The following is a 17,982-nucleotide window of genomic DNA, read 5'->3' as shown; positions in this document are numbered from 1 at the left end:
CAAGATTGAATGAGATCACCAAGAGAATAATTATAGAGAAGATAACCAAATGCGTCCATATACGAGGCCGTCATAAAATTGGTTCTTTTTCAGCTTCCGCATTTATACACAAGCATACTTGATGTTTTAGCCATATCAAACTGACTGATTTTCGGACTACATCACTGCTGTTTTGTTCATGTTTTATTAGACTGCATCTCTTGCCCTTCCACAGGATAAGCTAGTCGTTCTTCAAAATGTTTCCCATTGTCACCTTCATTCTAGTATTATTTTTGTACTATATGTACATACACTGTTAGTAGCACATTGTATATACCTGTCTTTCCTACCAGATGTAAACACCTTTGCATTCCAGATGCATAACACATAGATACTCAAATATTTATTGAAATATAATTGATTTATGCTTTAGGCAACTCTATTATGTTCATAAGAACTTTAGAAAAATTTAGATTGACAGAATTTTTTAAATCTCCATTAGGTTAGTTTTTTAATAGAGAATTTGGACTTTTAACTTAATTTTTTATAGGTTATTCTAACTAAAACCTTTTTGGTTGTTTACATTCAAGTAATGTTATTTTCTTGACATGTCTACATATCCCTTATGCTTATGCCTTTTTTTTTTTTTAACTCCGTGTTCCTTGCTAACTTATATTTACAAGTTGATTATAGTACTTTGATATATTTAGAAAATCCATGTCTTAAAATAATTTGGAGCTAAGTGATCAGGATTACAGAAGTATTCCATTTCAGTCAGACATATCATGTTAATGAGAGTTAAACTATATTTGAAGCTCAGTTTTGCTGACAAGGTTACATTAAGTGAACATTTTGAAATTTTTCTAGCATATTTGTTTCTTGCAAAAATCAAATTAATTTCTCAAAAACAGCTTAATTTTTCCAACAGCTACCAAACAATACTTAAATCTCAAATTTGTTTAAAGCGTGTATATACATATATATAACGCGCATAGAAAAATATTGGAAGACTATCAGCAAACTTATTTCTGGCCATATTATTGCAGGATATTTTCCCTTTCTACGTCATTTCTATGGTGTGCTTTAAAAAAAAAAAAGGCATGTATTTTTTTAATTAGTTAGGGGAAGATTAAGCTGCCTATTTCCTAATGGTTCAATATTGTTTTCTCTATTTAGGCTTTATCTGGCCACCCTAATGGAAACTTTTTTTAGTAGTTAACTTTTATTAGACTCATTGTAGCACAGTGCACTATAACCACTTTTTCTTCTTGTATGAAGTCAAGAAATACCTGGTATTATTCTTTGAAAACTGTAAGTATGCTTGAAGCCTAGTTACTACCTACAAATGATTCCTAAAGTTTTAAAAACCTCAAGTTCTTTCATTTATACTTTAGAAGCTTGACTTTGTAGGTTCTTAAGTTACTATTATTGTTGATACTTCAACTTCATAATGTAATTTTAAATCACTTTTTAAATACTAAGACTTTTTTTTAAATGAGATGCTCTAAATTAATACAAACTGTATATAAAAAAATTACTACACCCAACTTGTGGCACTATGGTAAGTTAAACAGGAGACAGTGTAGGTAAGATGTGATCCCTGTCAGCTACTGCATTTTTAAAGGATCCTATATTTTGGCCAGGCACAGTGGCTCACGCCTGTAGGCCCAGCACTTTGGTAGGCCAAGGTGGGCGGATCACTTGAGCTCAGGAACTGTAGACCAGCCTGGGCAACATGGTGAAACCCTGTCTCTACAAAAAATTCAAAAATCAGCTGGGCGTGGTGGCATGTGCCTTCCTCAGCTACTCGTTAGGCTGAGGTGGGAAGATCACTTGAGCCTGAGAAGCGGAGGCTGCTGTGACCTGTAATTATGCCTGGGCAACAGAGCAACCCTGTCTCAAAAAAAGAAAAATAAAGGATTCTATAGTTTACAGGATAACAGTATCCACAGATTTTTCTTTCTTTCTTTCTTTTTTTTTTTTTTGAGGCGGAGTCTTGCTCTCTCGCCCAGGCTGGAGTACAGTGGTGCGATCTTGGCTCACTGCAACCTCTGCCTCCTGGGTTCCAGTGATTCTTCTGCCTCAGCCTCCCGGGTAGCTGTGACTACAGGCACGTGCCACCACACCGGGCTAATTTTTGTATTTTTAGTAGAGACAGAGTTTCACCATATTGGCCAGGCTGGTCTCAAACTCTTGACCTTATGATCTGCCCACCTTGGCCTCCCAATTTTTTTTTTTTTTTATGTGAATGGTAGATAGTGGGGAAAGTGAGCCCAGTAGATTTTAGTCAGAAAAGTGTTATGAAGAGGGGGAGTTCTGTGAATGAGATGTAATCTACTTAAAGAAAACATGAATTTCATACAGGGAATTCATTATAGTTGTCAAATACTTGGGATGAGAAAAGACTATACTTAAGTGACTAGAAGTTGGAAGAGACTATAACAAGAAAATGTCTATTTTTTTATTTTTACTTTTTTAAACTTCCTATGGTGCTGAGGGGTTTTTTAAATATATAAATCTCTTACCCTTTTACTAACATGTTTGTTTATTTAATCTGTGTGGTTGCTAAGAAACTATGTTCAGATTTTAGGAAGACATACAAGACATGAAAAGATCATTGGTTGCAACAAATAATACAGATTAGTGGTATAAAAAATAATCAAGGCAGGAAGGATAAAGTTCCAAATGAGCTAAGCCTTTCAAAACTGCTAAGTATGACAGAAACGATGCTTTATGCTGTCTTTTGTGTTCTTCATACAGACTACTTAAATAGGGGGTAAAAGTCTCTTGTTTTTGCCTCTAACTCCTTACCAAGTAGAATGTTCTCCAAACTGGGCATTATAGAGTAATACATCTTAGAGAACTTTGTACTATAAGATAAAATATTACATCATATTCCTCTCCAGATAAATCAAATTTAGAAATTTCTTTTTTTATCTGTAATTATTGCTGTTTTTTGTTTTGTTTTTGAGACAGTCTGTCACCCAGGCTGGAATGCAATGGTACACAATCATAGCTTACTGCAGCCTCGACCTTCCAGGCTCAAGCAGTCCTCTCACTTCAGCCTTCTAAGTAGCTGGGACCATAGGTGCACGCCACCACACCTGGTTAAGTTTTTTTAAAAAAATTTCTTACAAAGTTTTGCTATATGCCCAGGTTGGTCTTGAACTCCAGGGCTCAAAGGATCCTCTCACCCCGGTCTCCCAAAGTGCTGGGATTACAGGCCTTCATGCCCAGCTGTTTTTTTTTGTTTCTGTTTTTGTTTTTTTGCATTTTAATCTAAATTTTAACATTTCAAAATACAGTTTTTAAAATTACAATTTCTACTACAAATTAAAATCCTTTCAAGCATGTTTTTGTATATGTTAACAAAAGTCCGTTGTTAAATATAGTTGAAATGTGCTTTTTCTCTACAAAACACAATATGCTACAACATCTTTTTGGGCAAATAATACGGATGGAGCAAAAAAATTGTAGAATGCTGTCAGGTTTGCCTTATCACATTTGATCCACCTTTAACAGTATTGAAGTTCACTTCAGCTATTAAAAATTCTTTGTTTACAGCTCTGCAGGCAGAATACCTTTGATACTTTGTTAGAAATTGGAACTGAAAATTTTTCGCTTTAATCTTTTCCATGGACCCAATTGTTTTGATTACAAGTGGTTTCTTAGGAATGCTCCTTTTATTAGTCCTTTCTCATGCTGCTAATAAAGACATACCCGAGACTGGGTAATTTATAAAGGAAAGAGGTTTAATTGACTCACAGTTGCGCAGGGATAGGGAGGTCTCAGGAAACCTATAAACATGGTGGAAGGGGAAGCAAACACATCATTCTTCACATGGTGGCAGGAAGGAGAAATGAGAGCGAAGTGAAGGAAAGCCTCCTTATAAAACCATCAGATCTTGTGAGAACTCACTATCACGAGAACAGCATGAGGGCAACCGCCCCCATGATTCGCCGGGTCCCTCTCACAACATGGGAATTATGGGAACTACAAGATGAAATTTGGATGGGGACACAGCCAAACCATATCACTCCTGTTGCTTTCTTAATGGATAGTTTTCATCCTGGGGTGATTTTCAAGATGGTGGATTCCTTTGTTTCGTTTCCAGCAACTCTGGTTCTGAAAATGGGGTATGTGTATCCAGGAATGTGAATTTTGCATATCACCTCTGTGACTCTGATGTAGGTAGTTCATAGACCACGGTTTTCATGAATAGAATGTGCATGGTATTGCATACCTCCATTGTTTTCTTAGAATAAATTACTAGAAGTAATAAGATACTTGGGCAAAGGAACTGTAATTTTACCAGAAATAGGTGTATCTAAATTTTTCTGAACTATGAACTACAAGGAAAATTTTGACACTTGCAGAATGTTATTCTGGCCTTTGTAGTAGTCGTTGTGTACCATATTTGTCCCTGAATGTATGTAATTATATGAAAGCTATGAGTAGAATTTGTATTGAATGACTGTCAAAATTTGCTTATAAATGATAATTTGCTTATAAATCAACTCTGAAAGAGTTGGATTTATCAATCATGTAAAAAAGACTTGGTACCCCTTTCATATGTTCATATTAACAAATGGGGCTAATTATGTTTTATTGAGTACATTTTGATTTGTTCCAGTAGCCGGATCGAGCTGGGAGATGTGACACCACACAATATTAAACAGTTGAAAAGATTGAATCAGGTCATCTTTCCAGTCAGCTACAATGACAAGTTCTACAAGGATGTGCTGGAGGTTGGCGAGCTAGCAAAACTTGGTATAATATAGTTTTTTTTTTGTCCTCCCTTCTTTTCTTTCTTTTTGTTCTTGAACCCTAGTTTTTTATAGAGCAGAAGAAGTTAACTAATTTAGTTTGTTTATTTTATAAGTGAGGAAATGGGAGTGGTCTAGGTTGTGAGAAAAATCTCAGAGAAATCAGTTGAATAAAACAGTTGAATTTTAAAAAGAAATGCTTAGTGTTCTTAGTGTATACCTGTGTGTTTTCACTTTAAGCTATACTCTAGAGGAGGCTTAAACTTCCTAAGATGGCATAAGAGCTTTGAGATCATTGATATTCATGAAATAGTTGATGAAATTTAATGTTGATAGGAACAGTGTAGTCCTTTAAAAGGGAAAAAGATTAAATGTGTTATTCTGTCTGTTCAACATTATATCTTTATGTTTTCCTTGGCAGCCTATTTCAATGATATTGCTGTAGGTGCAGTATGCTGTAGGGTGGATCATTCACAGAATCAGAAGAGACTTTACATCATGACACTAGGATGTCTGGCACCTTACCGAAGGCTAGGAATAGGTAAAAAATTGTGGTTTTTTTACTTCTTCAGAGAAGCATAAACATATTATTTGTTAATGTGTCTGACCTAGTAAGTTAATTTGGGTCTTTTTAAGGAATACTGAGAAAGGGTTACTGAATTATGTAAAATATGGTGAAAAATAACTAGTGTTTATTAACATAATTCTATTGGAAGCCCTACATAGATTTGCTGTTTACGTCCCCTTCTGCTTTTTCTGTTTTTCTTCTACCCGGAAGTGCTTGTTTAAAAAGGTTAGTCTTCTGCTAACAGTTTTAAACATACGTAGCTATTGTAGAGAGAGAACACAACTTTGGAAAATAAGGATATCTAGTGTATACCTCATAAATTCTTTTAGGACTCAATAAGTAGTTCAGATGGCAAGTGGATAGATACATAATTTAAAGGTTGATTTATGAAGTCACGTGTTTGTTATTTATTTTATTAACAGGAACTAAAATGTTAAATCATGTCTTAAACATCTGTGAAAAAGATGGTACTTTTGACAACATTTATCTGTAAGTAAAATAATATTTAATGTTCTTATCAAAGGGGTTTAATTGGCAGGAGAAATCTTTACTAGAAACTTTAAAATCTGGTCACTTATTGTGCCTTTGGAAACACTGTGGAAGTAGTTGTTACAAAGTATTCGAGTAGTTGTTAGTTTTGTTTAGTTTTGTTTTATTAATAATAGTAGATTAGGAACCTGAGATAGAACACATTGCTTTATTATATTAGGATGAGAGCACCAAAGTCACAGGGATGAAATCAGGATTAAAACTCAGGCCTTCAGAATTCAAGACTATTAATACTACTTTTCTCATGCAAAACCTTGTGTGTTTTGTTCAAGGCTATGTTGATAGCTTTGAACATTGTAGTAGATCATTTGTAGTAGAGTTTAATAATCAAAATCAGAGATTACCTAGCTGAGATTGTACTTGAATCTCAAGAGGCTGTAGATAAAGAGTTATGACTAAGATCACAGTCATGGATGTTCATAATTTAGTTTGGCCATGTGAGAGATTGAATTATACAGTGTTATTTTGGGAGTAATTGAGAAAGCTTGCGTTTTTAATTTTTAAAACATACCATGTATTTTATCAATCAGAAGGAAGATATATCTTCAAGCTTTGAGACCCTAGTTTTTTATTTTTCATCATTTTTTTTCTGTGTGTTAATAGGGCCTTTTAATAATTTATCCTCTTACAGTGAAAAAATTTTGATAGCTGTGGTACTTTTCCCTTTGTTGACTACAAGAATAAACACTGAGCCTTCTAATCTCAGCCAGCTGTCTTACAAATGTAAAAATTAGATTAAAAGTGTAAAATTGTCATCAAAAGGTTTTAGGTAAGCATGCCTAACCCTTGTTGATTACTGGTAGTTGTAAAGAGAATGTAACAGATGTTTGGAGCTATCTGTGGAGAATGCTTAAAACTTGATGAAACCTTAATTTTAATTTTTTTTCTGATACTCTCTTATATCTCAGGCATGTCCAGATCAGCAATGAGTCGGCAATTGACTTCTACAGGAAGTTTGGCTTTGAGATTATTGAGACAAAGAAGAACTACTATAAGAGGATAGAGCCCGCAGATGCTCATGTGCTGCAGAAAAACCTCAAAGTTCCTTCTGGTCAGAATGCAGATGTGCAAAAGACAGACAACTGAACAAATTACAAATGAACTTTCTTGCACTTGCTTGTCGCCAAATAAAAGAGAGGCCCATTGATTCCTCCCCCACCCCAACACTTTTCTTTTAAAGCTTTTCTCCCTCCTTGTTCTTGTTTTTCTTTCTTCCTTTCCTTTTCTCTGAGAGTTTTAATACTTTCAAGGACTTTAAAAAAATAATCATGTTTGAATTGTTTTCTCTTATTTTTGTGAGGTGGTTTGAAGGAAGGACAAGGTAGATCTGTTTAGTTTTGCAGTTGAAGTTAGATGGTCCTAAACATTTAATTGTCAAATAATTTCAAATTTAATGTCCTGCTTTCACATTGAAGGGCAGAGCCTACAAAACATTGTATATTTCAAAAGACAAAAAGAAGCAGCAGCAGTATCTTGTTCTCTAATTCATAGACAAGTTGAGTGTGTTTGTGGTACTTTGGGTTTTTAAACACTTTGGGATACTAATCCCTAGACATTGCCTTCACTCCACCTTTAGTCCTTCTGAGCACTCTCTCGGGAGTTGGAACATTGTTATCCTTGTAAGAAATACTAAGCTTATGTTGATTTTTAAGTAATTATATCTTCTCTTCTTGCTGGTGGGTGGGGCAGTTTGGTTTAGTGTTATACTTTGGTCTAAGTATTTGAGTTAAACTGCTTTTTTGCTAATGAGTGGGCTGGTTGTTAGCAGGTTTGTTTTTCCTGCTGTTGATTGTTACTAGTGGCATTAACTTTTAGAATTTGGGCTGGTGAGATTAATTTTTTTTAATATCCCAGCTAGAGATATGGCCTTTAACTGACCTAAAGAGGTGTGTTGTGATTTAATTTTTTCCCGTTCCTTTTTCTTCAGTAAACCCAACAATAGTCTAACCTTAAAAATTGAGTTGATGTCCTTATAGGTCACTACCCCTAAATAAACCTGAAGCAGGTGTTTTCTCTTGGACATACTAAAAAATACCTAAAAGGAAGCTTAGATGGGCTGTGACACAAAAAATTCAATTACTGTCATCTAATGCCAGCTGTTAAAAGTGTGGCCACTGAGCATTTGATTTTATAGGAAAAAATAGTATTTTTGAGAATAACATAGCTGTGCTATTGCACATCTGTTGGAGGACATCCCAGATTTGCTTATACTCAGTGCCTGTGATATTGAGTTTAAGGATTTGAGGCAGGGGTAATTATTAAACATATTGCTTCTATTCTTGGAAAAATAGAAGTGTAAAATGTTAATAATACAAATGTCACTGTGACCTCCTCCACTGAGAGGACTGGTTTATGCCAGATCATTTTCCGGCACACACGGAGTGGCTTTGACAGATTGATAACTTTGTAAGATGGGAGACATCTGAAATATTCATGTTTTCCTTTTGTAGTCCCATCTCCACTATTTAGAAATGTTCTCAGACTTTAAAATAATGCACAGGGCTTGAGCTTTCTGTCATTTGACTTTAAAAGGAAGTTTCATTCATATTTATCCTCTTATGTAAAATTGCGGTATAAAGTCTCATTTCCAAATATGTTAAATGACAAAATTATTTTATAAAATGTTTATGCACACTTTATAACCTTAAGTTTTTATTTGAGAATGTGAAAGTACAAAGTGCAGTAGACTTCAACAATCTTGAGTGCCAAGAATAATACAGAAAAAGAAGACAGTTGATGAATGAGTTTATAGGGTTCTAATCTTAAGATGGTAAAAATGTAGAAAGACCTTGCTGGTTTTTTGGGGGTATTCGTTTCTTAAACAATCCAAATCTAAGCTTAGAAGAAAAGTTTAGCGTTAAGCACCTTTATCTTCATGAATAAGCTTCAGCTTGCTCTTGGCAAGAGAAGAGTGCTTGAGTTACAGAAGGCATAAGTAGTTTGAAGAATGCAGCAGCCTTTTTGTAAACTTCCCAGATATCAAAATAGACTTTGATATATAAATGGTTTTCTGAGATGACACTGCCTCTATTTCTATAACCATTTCACCTGGACTATCTAATCAGTCCTATGAATGTATCCCTAAATGTGGTTATTGAAAACCTAATAGCTGCCTCATGACAAGTACATGTTATTTAAGGAGGAAAAAATATTAAATTTTGAATTGAGTGTGTAGGCTCCCTATCATTATATATAGAGTTTCTTTTTCCACGGTAGTCAGTGACTTAACCTGAATTGTAAATGTTTGTAAAGGGTTAATTGTCCTACATCAAACTTAGTTAAATAATTCCATCCACTTATGGAGGAGGAGGAGAATGTGGAAGAGGTAAAAAGCTGGGCACAAGTTCATATGCCTATGAGTCAGTAAAGACTGAAGTAATGTCCTATGTTGAGCTGGTTATTTTGATATATGATAATAATTATCTTTGAAGTAGAACAATTCTGTTAACTGGAAAATCACAGGATATATCCATCATATTTTTCAGGACAGATAGTTTTTACTGTGGGGCAAATAGGTTAAAATTACACTATGTTAGTTGCATTTAGGTTTTAAAGCAAAGAATCTGTAGAGAAATCTATGCAATATATAGTTTGTCCAGATTAGCTTTCATTTGGGGAATGAAGTTCTGAAATATCTAAAGCAGTTTACTCATCAATTGAAAAGTCCTCCAAAAAGAGAACTATTGGGAAACCATGGTGTGGTGGTGGAAAAGAAAAGCTCCCTCAGTTTTTTGGAGGGAATAACTTAAAAAAATACTTAAATGGCTAAGTTTACTTGGTGCAGTTAAGAATTAAACTTGTCAATTTTAACATTGCTGTTACATCTGAAATAAACTTATGTGATGTTCTGGTAGTGATCTGTGATATCTGTAAATGTCAAAACTGTATTGTTGAATTCTGCAGCCAGCAACCGTACATACTCATTGTGTAGTGTTTCCCTTACTGCTTTTATTTACTTTCACATTTAAGATCTAATTTTAAAATCATTAAAATAGGCCAAGTGTAATTAAGGCATCCTAATTCAGATCTTCTGTGACTTGCTAGGTACAGTGCCCAATATCTACAATTCAGTTCCAATGAGAGGGAAAAAGTAAGATCCAAGGAACTGTCTTGCTGCTGTATTTTTAATGTAATTATTAGAAATACTTGACACTTTAGGCTGCAATCTAGTTAGTAATGTTTATTGGCTACAGACAACATATTCAGGTGTTTTGTTTTTCTTCCTTGTAAGGAAGGAGTACGGTAGTTCAATGAGTTGGGAATTGGCTTTTAAGCTTTTTATCAAACATGAATTTAAGATTTTTTCTTTAACAGAATTCAGTATTTAATATTTCTAGTCAAAATTGTTATAATTAGATTTTTGCTTTTTTCATTTAAGAAGCAATGAGTGATCCTTGTCTAGTGTGTCTCAGTTATTACTGTAGTTTAAAACAACAAACAAGTATTACCTTCCACAGTTCTGGATCAGGAATCTAGGAGCTGCTTAACTGGGTGGTTCTGTCTTGAGATCTCAGAAGGTTGCAGTCAAGCTGTTAGCCAGGACTGTACCATCTTGAAGCTTGACAAGGCTAGAGGAGCCATTTCCAAGATGTCTTGCTTACGTGGCTCTTGGGCTTCTGTTCCTCACTGTGTGGGTATCACACACAGTGCCTGATGCTCACGTGGCTCTTGGGCTTCAGTTCCTTGGGCACCAGTTGCCTGGTGGACAACTGGTATGTGGCTTCCCCTAGAGCAGGTGATATAAGAAAGTGAGCAGAAACCATACTTTTTTATGACGTAGCCTCAGGTGACATTATTTCTGCCATATTCCATGAGTCACACAGACCAACCATTGAATCAGCTTGGTATAGTGTGGGAGGGGACTGCACAAGGATGTGAATACTGGGAGGTGGATATCATTGGGCCCTCTAGGAGACTGGCTATCACTGCTCAGAGAAGATGCTGGGCTTCGTTGACTCCCAAGGTCAGGGTAGTTTTGGTTAGGTTGTGTTTTATTAGTCTCTAAAAGGAGTAGTTTTCTAAATGAGGGTTATAAAGCACTGCACTTTACAGTTATTCGGGATATAAAAGAAATAGTGGGTCTAAAGGCTGTGCTCTTGTGGTTGGGTTTTCAGTGGGGAGGGGAGACTAGTCTGTCTCAGACTGATGCTGTTCTCACTGATTTGAATATTTCTGGGAAATTGGATACTACAGTCACAAATAGGAACAGTAAGCCTATAGAAGTTTTTCAGGGAGTAAATATTTTCTATGGCAGTGTCCTGAATTGGTTCTCCCTTGCAAGACTGAACTGTAGGAACTTAGTCCTAGTTTATGATACAGCCAAGTAACATAGTCACATGGGAAAAAGAGCTTGAGTCAGATTTCTTAATGTGTGTTGTTAACTTGGTAGAACATTGAGAATTATTTAAGTCAGAGAACGATCTGTTACTGGGGCAGAAATTCTCAACCTTTTCAGTTCTCCAAAATTTAAGATACTTGATTTCTTAGGTAAAATGTTTTTGTTTTTGTTTTGGAGACAGAGTCTCGCTCTGTCGCCCAGGCTGGAGTGCAGTGGCGCGATCTTGGCTCACTGCAAACTCCGCCTCCCAGATTCAAGCAATTCTGCCTGAGCCTCCCAAGTAGCTGCGACTAGAAAGCGCATGCCACCACGCCTGGCTAATTTTTTGTATTTTAGTAGAGATGGGGGTTTCACCGTGTTGCCCAGGCTGGTCTCAAACTCCTGAGCTTAGGCAATCCTCCTGGGGCAGCCTCCCAAAGTGCTAGGATTACAGGCGAGCCATGGCGCCTGGCCAGTAAAATGTTTTCTATCTAGAATGAATCAAGGTATTTTCCTTGCTCAGTAGCTTCTAGAATAAGAAAAAAATAGCAGCAAGATCTGATTCAGAAATAGTTGGGAGCAGAAAGTTAATATGAAGGAGTTGCTACTTGTTAACAGCCTAGAGTTGAGATCTAGAAGAATTATTACCTTTTTAAATTTGTGATGAAAGCTTAAATCCAGCATTTGGGAAGTTACTCTATTGGCTGAACTATTTTGGAGTTTGTAAGCTTTGTATTAGATATTCCTGATTTAACTGAAACTAATTTGCCACATAGCTTTAATTTCATCCCAGTTTTACTTGTTTTACTGTCCTCAAAAACTCAAGACATCTGAACTCAAAGGATCTAAGCAGTATAAATTAAAGCACATGTTGAATCACTGTAGCTTTCGTAGGACATCTGATTATAATGCTTTTCTTTGTTTCTTTGTCCATACTGAACTTGTCTAGTTTATCTTTGAGAAACATTTGCTAGTATCAAAAATCTTCTGTAAAGATTTGAACAATCTTGAATTCTCCTTGTCACTAGCCATCTCTTCCCCTAAAGTATAATAAAACTGTCAGGTACTATATGTGTAATTGCTTATGCAGGTGAAATTTGAATACACAAACAGTAAATCCCAGTTCTCTTAGTAAGATGAAGGCTTTGTTATAGCACCTTTAAAACAATTTTATAACATCCTTCATTCTTATCACTTTCCTAAGTAAGAAACGATCTTCCTTTAGTGGATATAAAAGTTGTACATTGTTTCTGCAGATTTACTGGGTGCCTACTATTCTGAACTCTAGGGATACAGCAGTGAGCAAGGCAAAAAATATCTGTGACTTCTTTAAATAAAGGTAAGTAAAATTCTAGTTTAAGCAGAATTCATGTCTAAGTGCAGGTCATCCTATTTACTAAAATGAATCAGCTCCTTCAAGGATCTTGATTTTACCTTAATTTTGAATTCCCTACATTGACTTGTTTTCTCTAACATTGGCTCCAGTACAAACAAAAAGCCTTAATTCCCATAGGAGAACTGAGACTTACAAGTGGGAAAGGGAGTGCAAAACAGATACAAGTTCAGAATTTATACAGCAGAAACAATCTAACATTGTAGAGGTTCTTTTTTTTTTTTTCTTTTTCTTTTTGAGACGGAGTCTTTCATTCTATCACCCAGGATGGAGCACAGTGGCGCAATCTCGGCTCACTGCAATCTCCGCCACCTAGATTCAAGCAATTCTGTCTCGGCCTCCTGAGTAGCTGGGATTACAGACAGGCACCACCATGCCCAGCTATTTTTTGTACTTTTAGTGGAGACGGGGTTTCACCATGTTGACCGGCCTCTTCTCGAACTTCTGGCCTCAGGTGATCCTCCCACCTCGGCCTCCCAAAGTGCTGGGATTACAGGCGTGAGCCACTGTGCCCAACCTAACATTGTAGAGGTTCTGATTCCATCATACGTAGCTTGTGTCCCTGGACTCAATGTAGCTTATCTCATTCTAAATGGCCTTTTTCATGCTACAGTTTAAAAACAGACTAGCTCCGCTCTGGTGACAGCTAGAGATCATATCATCAGACAAATGAGTGACCTACTTCACAACTTGACCTTTTGCATCAGGATCCAAAGAGTAAATTCTTTCCTTCATCATTTTAGTTTCTGATTAACAGTTCTTCCCCAGATGATGTACTAGGGGGACTTGATTCAGTTTGTTTTACATATAAGCAAATCTGTATGACCTTGGTTACAATTATCTGCAAGTTTCCTGATTGTCTTACTTGCTTTGTTATAGTTACAACAGTGCTAACTCCTTCAAGTGTAACTTCCACAACTGCTCAGTACCTACTAGCTTGGTCTTTTCTTGCCAAACCTTTCTTCCCTACATAGAATTGTCTAGAGTCCCTTCACAGCAAATGGAAGTTTAGCCTATATAATGTACCCTGGGACAAGTTTAGAATGTGGATTATCACCAATCATTGACATTTAAAAAAAAAACAACAACAACAAAAGGTGCTCCTTGTAACTTGCAGGGCATAGTACACTGCCTTATGTGAAATTTGGTCATGGAATGTACTCATAAGAGATAAGTGCTGACAGTTAAAAAGATGAGTATGGCCCTTCCCTGGAGATGCTTAACAGTCTAGTAGAAAATAAACATAACATTTTTTTCAATTCCCATGAGATACTATGTTGGCATGAGAGGCATATTTTTACAGAATTTTGAAGACGACTTATTTAAATTAGTTTTGAGTTTTGGTTCTATTACTACAAACAAAATGAGTAATTATTGTGTCATATGGTTATTTAGACATCTAAGAGTGAACAAAAATGATAAGTGTGCTTAGAGAATTAAATATCTCCACTGAGGCATGGTAGCACCACAGGAAAGATGTGTCCCGTAGCAGATATGAGATAACTTAGCTATTGGAAATAATCTAGGACTAAAGTAATTGATCAAAACAAAAACTGGGGGGAAATAACTGAACATGTAGCCCAACTCCAGAGCTTTGCAAATTTATAAGCTTAAGTGGTGGCTCACGCCTGTAGTCCCAGCACTTTGGGAGGCTGAGGCGGGTGGATCATGAGGTCAGGAGATCGAGACCATCCTGGCTAACACGGTGAAACCCCGTCTCTACTAAAAATACAAAAAATTGGCCGGGCGCAGTGGCAGGCACCTGTAGTCCCAGCTACTCGGGAGGCTGAGGCAGGAGAATGGCGTGAACCCTGGAAGCGGTGTTTGCAGTGAGCAGAAATTGCACCACTGCACTCCAGCCTGGGGAACAAAGCAAGACTCCGTCTCAAAAGGAAAAAAAAATATATGGTCAGATTTAACGTATGCATTTAAAAGGACAAAAATTCTGCATTAAGAACTTGGGAGAGGGGTTAAAAAAACTCAAATTTAACTGTTTAAAGAGCTCCTAAGAAAAGCATTGCGATATTTTGATAAAAGATCAAAAACATTCTAATAGACAATTTTTTAAAATATGGCTTTACTTTTGCCTAATGTTGCATTGGGTTCATTCATTACAATAAAACTTATTGGCCGGACACGGTGGTTCACGCCTGTAATCCCAGCACTTTGGGAGTCTGAGGCAGGTGGATCACCTGAGGTCGTGGGTTCGAGACCAGCCTAACCAACGTGGAGAAGCCCCGCCTCTACTAGAAATACAAAATTAGACGGGCATGGTGGCACATGCCTGTAATCCCAGCTACTTGGGAGGCTAAGGCAGGAGAACTGCTTGAACCCAGGAAGCAGAGGTTGCACTCCAGCCTGGGCAACAAGAGCGAAACTCCGTCTCAAAAAAATACAAAACTTACTGAGAGCTTACCATGTATCAGGCACTGTGATTGATGCTACCATACAACATAGTGCTTATAATTAACAATACTGTAATATATACTTAAAATATATTTTTATTAATAATAAATACAACAGTGCTTTTAATTAACAATACTGTAATATATACTTAAAATATATTTTTATTAATACTTAATAAAAATATTTTTTAAGTATATGTTACAGATAAATCTTACATGTAAGTTTTTAAATCACAAAACAATAGAGGCTGAGAGGAAATTTTGGGCATGATATGTTTATGGCATTGTGATGGGTTCATGGGTGGATACTTATCTCCAAACTCCTCAAGTTGTATACTTTAGATATGTACAGCTTTTTTGTATGTCAATCATACCTCAATAAAGTGCTTTTTTAAAAAAATTAACCAAAATAGACCATATCTTGGGTTATAAGTCAAAATACTAGCACTTTGAGAAGCCAAGGTGGGTGGATCACCTGAGGTCTGGAGTTTGAGACCAGCTGACCAACATGGTGAAACCCTATCTCTACTAAAAATAAAAAAAATTAGCTGGGCGTGGCAGCTTGGGAAGCTGAGGTAGGAGAATCACTTGAACCCGGGAGGCAGAGGTTGCAGTGAGCCAAGATCAAAAAATTAGCTGAGCATGGCTACTTGGGATGCTGAGGTAGAAGAATCGCTTGAACCCGGGAGGGGGAGGTTGCAGTGAGCTGAGATCGTGCCATTGCACTCCAACCTGGACAAGAGCAAAACTCAGTCTCAAAAAAAAAAAAAAAAAAAAGGTCAAAATATATTTAAGAAGCTTAATATCTAGAAAATAAATAATCTGAAAATTAAACATTTCTAAATCATGTCTAAGAAGCTGTTGCAAGAGAAATGAGAATATTTTGAACAGAAGGAAAATGAAAATATATCAAAAGCTGCAGCAAGCAGCTAAACATGCTTAAAGGGTAATTTACAGCATTAAATGTGTATGGGAGGAAAAATATCTTAAATAAAAGATCTTAAGTTTCCATCTTAAGAAACTAGAAAAACAAGAACTAGTTAAACCTAAAGTAAGCTGAAAAGGAAAAAATAAAGAGCAGAAACCAATGAGATTGAAGACAAAACAACAAACAAAGCAACTGCCACTTTGAAAAAATAAGATTGATAAACTTCTATCTAGACTGACCAAAGAACAGAGAAGACACAAATTACTGATATCAGTAATGGCAGGGGACAACACTACAGAACCTAGAATAAAAGGATAATCAATTCATCCAATACAACAACTTAGATGAAATGGACATATTTTTTGAAAGACAAATTACTAACGTTATTTAAGAGGAAAGTCTGAGGTTTGTAAAAGTTAGACAGTCACCATATGACTCAGCAACATATACATCAGAAATGTCCACATGATAACTTGTACATGAGTATTCATAGCATTCATAATAGCCAAAGGGTGAGAACAACCCAAGTGTCCATCAACTATATCCACAGAAAGAGCTATTGTTCGGTCATAATAGGTGAATTGTATGGTGTGCAACAATATCAGTAAAGCTGTTTTCATAAGAAAAAGAAATAGGAAACCTGAATAGTCTCGTATATATAAAGGAAATTGAATTTGTAGTTAAAATCCTCCCTACAAAGAAATCCCAGGCCCGATGGCCTCTTTTGTGAATTCTATCAAATATTTAAGGAAGATGTGATACCAATCCTACCTACTCCAAGAAAATAGAAAAGAATACTGCATAACTCATTTTATGAGGACAGCATTATACCAACACTAAAACCAGACAAAGACATTATAAGAAAACTATAGACCGATATCTCTCATGAATTATGACTGGAAAATCCTTAAGAAAGTATTAGCAGATCAAATCCAGCAATATATTAAAAGGATATATTATGATCAAATAGGATTAGTCTCAAGAATGAGAGGTTGATTTAACAATTGAAAACTAATTTGTGTAATTTATCATATTAACGATCTTTAAATTATTATCTCAATAGATGCAGGAAAAAGGTATTCAACAAAATTCAACACCCATTCATGATTTTTTAAGAGTTAGAACAATATAGGAATAAAAAGGAATTTATTTAATCTGAAAAAGTTATCTATAAGAGCTTTCACCATACTTGATGGTGAAAGACTGAATGCCTTACCACTAAGTTTGGGACGAAGGCAAGGATGGCTGCTCTCACCATTGCCATACAATATTGCAGTGGATTTCAGTAAGTGCAAAATTGTATATTAGACTAGCCAGTCCAATAAAACAAGAAAAGTATGCAGATTGTAACGAAGTAAAATGGTTTTATTTACAGATGATTAAGTAGAAAACATTAAGATTATCTTTTTTAAAAAAAAGCTACTAGAATTAATAAAGGAGTGTAGTAAGGTCACAAAATACAAACATCAGTTGTATTTCCAGCAATTAAAAAATTTGAAATGGAAAATTAATAATATAACAATGTAAAAAGATTTAGAGATACATTTAACAAAATATATGTAAGACATGTATACGAAAAGTTATAAAACACTGCTGGGAAACATTTTTAAAGATCCAAATAAATGCAGAAATATAACATGTTCATAAATCTCAAAACTCAATATTGTTGTCACTTGTCCTCATATCAAATTATATATATCTCAGTCAAAAACACTGAAGGCTTGTGTTTTCCTGTTTAAATTGATGAGCTTAGGTCTACATGGAAACGTGAAGAAAAGAGTTAATACGATTTATAAAAGGAAAACACAACTGGAGGACTTAACACTACTTGACTTTAAGACACATAAAGCTGCATAAAGACAGTGTGGTGTTGGTGTCAATGCCCACAAATATATCAATGGAATGGAATAAGAGTCCGAAAATGCATCAGTGAATATATGGTCACTTGATTTTTGTCCCAGATACAAACAATTCAGTGGAGGAAAGATAGTCTTTTCAACAACCAATGTTGGAAGAAATGGATTTTCCAATAAAATGTATAAACTTTGATCCACACCTCCACGATATGCAAAAATTA

The 17,982-nt window shown here is 35.7% G+C and overlaps 1 protein-coding gene across 2 annotated transcripts in view; it reads left to right on the top strand.

Annotated features, from left to right (window-relative positions):
* The window catches only part of NAA50 (N-alpha-acetyltransferase 50, NatE catalytic subunit), a 29,792-nt gene extending 17,542 nt beyond the window's left edge, over positions 1-12,250 (top strand). The window contains exons 2-5 of one of the 2 annotated variants that reach the window (NM_001308445.2): positions 4,616-4,749; positions 5,167-5,286; positions 5,736-5,802; positions 6,771-12,250. In NM_001308445.2, the coding sequence (NP_001295374.1) occupies positions 4,616-4,749; positions 5,167-5,286; positions 5,736-5,802; positions 6,771-6,948 (499 nt within the window). In that variant the 3' untranslated portion in view covers positions 6,949-12,250. Of the gene's footprint in view, positions 1-4,612; positions 4,750-5,166; positions 5,287-5,735; positions 5,803-6,770 lie in introns of both variants that reach the window. The other variant, NM_025146.4, reaches the window with a different exon arrangement.
* The last annotated feature ends 5,732 nt before the right edge of the window (positions 12,251-17,982 follow it).

Source organism: Homo sapiens, chromosome 3, assembly GCF_000001405.40.
Source record: "Homo sapiens chromosome 3, GRCh38.p14 Primary Assembly".
NCBI classification, from domain to species: domain Eukaryota; kingdom Metazoa; phylum Chordata; class Mammalia; order Primates; family Hominidae; genus Homo; species Homo sapiens.
This window is presented reverse-complemented; position numbering and strand designations above follow the sequence as displayed.